General features: G+C 40.3%; 2 annotated features.

The window, feature by feature from the left end:
- Positions 3,692–4,292: an enhancer, noted in NCBI's record as "NANOG-H3K27ac-H3K4me1 hESC enhancer chr3:28100418-28101018 (GRCh37/hg19 assembly coordinates)". NCBI's record gives its function as "activates a minimal SCP1, AML or CMV promoter by ChIP-STARR-seq in naive H9 embryonic stem cells {active_cell/tissue: H9 hESC(naive)}" and the evidence as "EXISTENCE:reporter gene assay evidence [ECO:0000049][PMID:30033119]".
- Positions 4,293–4,893: an enhancer, noted in NCBI's record as "NANOG-H3K27ac-H3K4me1 hESC enhancer chr3:28101019-28101619 (GRCh37/hg19 assembly coordinates)". NCBI's record gives its function as "activates a minimal SCP1, AML or CMV promoter by ChIP-STARR-seq in naive H9 embryonic stem cells {active_cell/tissue: H9 hESC(naive)}" and the evidence as "EXISTENCE:reporter gene assay evidence [ECO:0000049][PMID:30033119]".

The following is a 5,595-nucleotide window of genomic DNA, read 5'->3' on the forward strand; positions in this document are numbered from 1 at the left end:
CCAAATTGAAATACGCATTTTAATACAATCCTCCAAGTGATTCATAGGAGTGTTAAAATTTGAAAAATACTGGTATATTTCATTATATCAAAGCAGTTCTAACTAGGAGCAAAGATGGTGAAGTATTTATATTCCATCGCTGTGTCAGTCTTTGGTTAAGGGCTGGTCCCAGAGTCCTTAATTTCCTTAGTAAATTCCCTTCCACTTTCTGCCCTCTGTGCATGCAGGCAAAGGAGTTTAAGCAGGCTGAGGTCAGCCCCTGGCAAGGAGACCCAGGATCTGGCTGCGCTCAAGTGTTGGTTAAGAGTGAAAACACACCAGGAACTTGTATGCAGGGAACTGATCTAGAAATCCTAGGAGATTAGAGGCAGAAAACAAACAAGGCTTGCTAGTCTCCATTTACCTTTTTCCTCATTCTGCTCCTTCTCTGGTCTTTTCTAGCACATACATTCTTTGCCATCCATAGAACTCTGAGATCACTTTCTCTCACTTTCCAAGACCAATAGGGGACCAGTCCTCTCAGGTCTATCTCTACAAGGGTTCTCAAATCTGTCCTCCATTCTCCATCACCCTGCCACTGCCCAAGTTCAGAGCTATGGTATCTCAGACCATCACATTCCCTTTCTAAGTGCCCTCAACCCCACATTGTGTCTGCTACCTGCACACGTCTTTCAAGTTGAACATCCCCTGCTCTTCCATGCCTTTCCTAATTCTTCCAGAATTGGCCATTCTAACTTCCCATAGCAGCATTTTTGGTGTATTCTTCAAATGAAGCTGGAATGTTCTTCAAGTGAAGCATTTGTCTTATTATTGCTATTTTTAGTCATTTATAAGATCTGTCTACCCAGATAGATTCTGAACTGCTTGAAGATAATGTGATGGCACTTCCTGTGCTTAGCACATAGTAGGTGTTTAATGAATGCATATTAAATAATGAGATTATTGATTCAAAAGTGTTTTTTAAGTACTTGAGCCTATGGGCAGGTGCTTTGAATCTAAACTTAAATTTAATAAACTTCTCAAGGATACAAATGCTGAATGAAATGAAAAGGAGATGAATAAGAGATGTTATACATAACCCTTTCAAGCTTTCCAATAGATGATACCTTGCTCATTTGTCACTTAGCAGATTCTCTCTGCTGCTTTGGAAAAATGTAATTGTAATCTCTTTTTTTTTTTTTTTTTTGCAATTTAATCATTCATTTATTCATTAAGCATTTCTTGATTTGTTCTATGTGTCAGATTTCTTTTTTTTTATTTTTTTTAATTATACTTTAAGTTTTAGCATACATGTGCACATTGTGCAGGTTAGTTACATATGTATACATGTGTAATTTGTAATCTTTAATGCAAACAATTTTCTCAAGAATTGGTCACACTAGTTTGACAAAAGCACAGAACAGCTACGGTCAATCACTGTTTCTTATTTTAGCTATTAGACACTAATTTTCATATCCATTGCAGAATTGAAACTGTTTTTCAAATACAAGTCTTGAGAATAAATGCTGTTTACTTTTACTAATATCATTCCAGAACAAATGGAACATTTGTAACTTGAGTAATTAGCATCTGATCCGTTCTTTCTAAATTGTGAGCATCTCCCTCTCTCTCTCTGCTAGTGCTCTCTCTCTCTCTCTCTGGTTTAATTAATGCTAATGCATACTGCCCTACAAGAATTTGCAAGCTGTACTGAGAAATAATGCAGTGTTAGTTTTGTAATTTAGTGCACAGAGCACATTTGTGCAAAAGCTTTGTAAACTGGGCCCGTGGTCAAAAGGAGCAATTAGCACTTTGTTAGTATGCAATGATGTACTAATCTGTGCAGTCCCCAAAAGCAATTGTCTGTTCCATTTTGCCCTCATGTGCAAATTTTTTCCAGTGTATACAGCACTACTCCAAAAATAACACATTGCCTGCCTGGTGCTATAAATTGGATTCATGATGATGAAGACATATCAATTAGAAATATCTTCTGGGGGGAAAATGTACATGAGTTTGGTCCTACAGTTTTTAGCAAAATGAGGAAGTTGATGCATAGCCTTGACAAGGAGCTATAGTTTTCTGTTCCTCACTCAAATTTCACAAACGAAATTGTTTTCATCTTTATAGAAAGACTATAAGATGGGCATTTTGTGGGAAAACAAGATCTCAAACCAGAGTAGTTAAACCCAGAATCACACGGATGTCGATTTCATTAACACAACAGGACTGATTTGCATTTAAACAGATGCCATCCGTTCCTTTATTTAAATAGCACATAGGAAACATAAGAATTTTGTGCATTCTTTGGACTTCTCAAGTTCTTAGTAAAGCACATGATTATGTCAGTTGAACAATAAAAACAACAATAATACCTTGCATTTTTAGAACGATTCTCAGTTTTCCTAAGGTATTTCAGGTACACTGGCTCATTTGAGTCTCACCACACATCTGTGGGTAGGCATTTTCATCACCACTTTGCTGATGTGGAATCATGGGTTCAGAGGTTGAGTGACTTGTATAAAATCACCCAGGAGGCAGTATTGTATAGTAATTCAAAGCATGAGCTTTGAGGCCAGGCTATCTGAAGGCAAATTTCAACTCTGCTTCTGTCTGGCATGAGACTTTGGCTTAACCCTTCTGCACACGTTTCCACAATCTGTAAAATTGTAATGATAATTATACAGTAGGTCCTCATTTAACATTATCTATAGGTTCTTGAATACTGTGACTTTAAGGGAAATGACATGTAACAAAACAAATTTTACCATAGGCTAATTGATAGAAACAAGAGTTAAGTTACTACAGCATATTTCAGGTCACAAAAACACTACCAAACTTCTAACTAAAGATAAAATCACAAATCATGAGCGAACTCCCATTCACAATTGCAACAAAGAAAATAAAATACCTAGGAATACAACTTATAAGGGACGTGAAGGACCTCTTCAAGGAAAACTACAAATCACTGCTCAAGGAAATAAGAAAGGACACAAATAAATGGAAAAACATTTCATGCTCATGGATAGGAAGAATCAGTATCATGAAGATGACCATACTGCCCAAAGTAATTTACAGATTCAGTGCTATCCCCATCAAGCTACCATTGACTTTCTTCACAGAATTAGAAAAAACTACTTTAAATTTCATATGGAAACAAAAAAGAGCCCATATAGCCAAGACAGTCCTAAGCAAAAAGAACAAAGCTGGAGGCATCGTGCTAACTGACTTCAAACAATACTACAAGGGTACAGTAACCAAAACAGCATGGTATTGGTACCAAAACAGAGATATAGACCAATGGAACAGAACAGAGGACTCAGAAATAACACCACATATCTACAACTATCTGATCTTTGACAAACCTGACAAAAACAAGCAATGGGGAAAGGATTCCCTATTTAATAAATGGTGTTGGGAAAACAGGCTAGGCATATGCAGAAAACTGAAACTGTACCCTTTCCTTACACCTTATACAAAAAGTAACTCAAGATGGATTAAAGACTTAAATGAAAGACCTAAAACCATAAAACCCTAGAAGGAAACCTAGGCAATACCATTCAGGACATAGGCATGGGAAAAGACTTCATTACTAAAACACCAAAGTAATGGCAACAAAAGCCAAAATTGACAAATGAGATCTAATTAAACTAAACAACTTCTGCACAGCAAAAGAAACTATCATCAGAGTGAACAGGCAATCTACAGAATGGGAGAAAATTTTTGCAATCTATCCATCTGACAAATGGCTAATATCCAGAATCTACAAAGAACTTAAACAGATTTGCAAGAAAAAAACAAACAACCCCATCAAAAAGTGGACGAAGGATATGAACAGACACTTCTCAAAAGAAGACATTTATGTGGCCAACAAACATATGAATAAAAGCTCATCTTCACTGGTCATTAGATAAATGCAAATCAAAACCACAATGATATACCATCTTATACCAGTTAGAATGGTGATCATTAAAAAATCAGGAAACAACAGATGCTGGAGAGGATGTGGAGAAATAGAAATGCTTACCGGAGAGGAGCCAAGATGGCCGAATAGGCACAGCTCCGGTCTACAGCTCCCAGCGTGAGCGACGCAGAAGATGGGTGATTTCAGCATTTCCATCTGAGGTACCGGTTTCATCTCACTAGGGAGTGCCAGACAGTGGGCGCAGGTCAGTGGGTGCGTGCACCGTGCGCAAGCCGAAGCAGGGCGAGGCATTGCCTCACTCGGGAAGCGCAAGGGGTCAGGGAGTTCCCTTTCCGAGTCAAAGAAAGGGGTGATGGACGGCACCTGGAAAATTGGGTCACTCCCACGCGAATACTGCGCTTTTCCGACAGGCTTAAAACAAGGCGCATCACGAGATTATACCCCGCACCTGGCTCGGAGGGTCCTACGCCCACGGAGTCTCGCTGATTGCCAGCACAGCAGTCTGAGATCAAACTGCAAGGCGGCAGCGAGGCTGGGGGAGGGGCGCCCGCCATTGCCCAGGCTTGATTAGGTAAACAAAGCAGCCGGGAAGCTCGAACTGGGTGGAGCCCACCACAGCTCAAGGAGGCCTGCCTGCCTCTGTAGGCTCCACCTCTGGGGGCAGGGCACAGACAAACAAAAAGACAGCAGTAACCTCTGCAGACTTAAATGTCCCTGTCTGACAGCTTTGAAGAGAGCAGTGGTTCTCCCAGCACTCAGCTGGAGATCTGAGAACGGGCAGACTGCCTCCTCAAGTGGGTCCCTGACCTCTGACCCCCGAGCAACCTAACTGGGAGGCACCCCCCAGCAGGGGCACACTGACACCTCACACGGCAGGGTATTCCAACAGACCTGCAGCTGAGGGTCCTGTCTGTTAGAAGGAAAACTAACAAACAGAAAGGACATCCACACCAAAAACCCATCTGTACATCACCATCATCAAAGACCAAAAGTAGATAAAACCACAAAGATGGGGAAAAAACAGAACAGAAAAGCTGGAAACTCTAAAAAGCAGAGTGCCTCTCCTCCTCCAAAGGAACGCAGTTCCTTACCAGCAATGGAACAAAGCTGGATGGAGAATGACTTTGACGAGTTGAGAGAAGAAGGCTTCAGACGATCAAATTACTCTGAGCTACGGGAGGACATTCAAACCAAAGGCAAAGAAGTTGAAAACTTTGAAAAAAATTTAGAAGAATGTATAAGTAGAATAACCAATACAGAGAAGTGCTTAAAGGAGCTGATGGAGCTGAAAACCAAGGCTCGAGAACTACATGAAGAATGCAGAAGCCTCAGGAGCCGATGCGATCAACTGGAAGAAAGGATATCAGCGATGGAAGATGAAATGAATGAAATGAAGTGAGAAGGGAAGTTTAGAGAAAAAAGAATAAAAAGAAATGAGCAAAGCCTCCAAGAAATATGGGACTATGTGAAAAGTCCCATCTGATTGGTGTACCTGAAAGTGATGGAGAGAATGGAACCAAGTTGGAAAACACTCTGCAGGATATTATCCAGGAGAACTTCCCCAATCTAGCAAGGCAGGCCAACATTCAGATTCAGGAAATACAGAGAACGCCACAAAGATACTCCTCGAGAAGAGCAACTCCAAGACACATAATTGTCAGATTCACCAAAGTTGAAATGAAGGAAAAAAT

The sequence above is a fragment of the Homo sapiens genome, chromosome 3 (assembly GCF_000001405.40).
Source record: "Homo sapiens chromosome 3, GRCh38.p14 Primary Assembly".
Taxonomy (NCBI): Eukaryota; Metazoa; Chordata; class Mammalia; order Primates; family Hominidae; genus Homo; species Homo sapiens.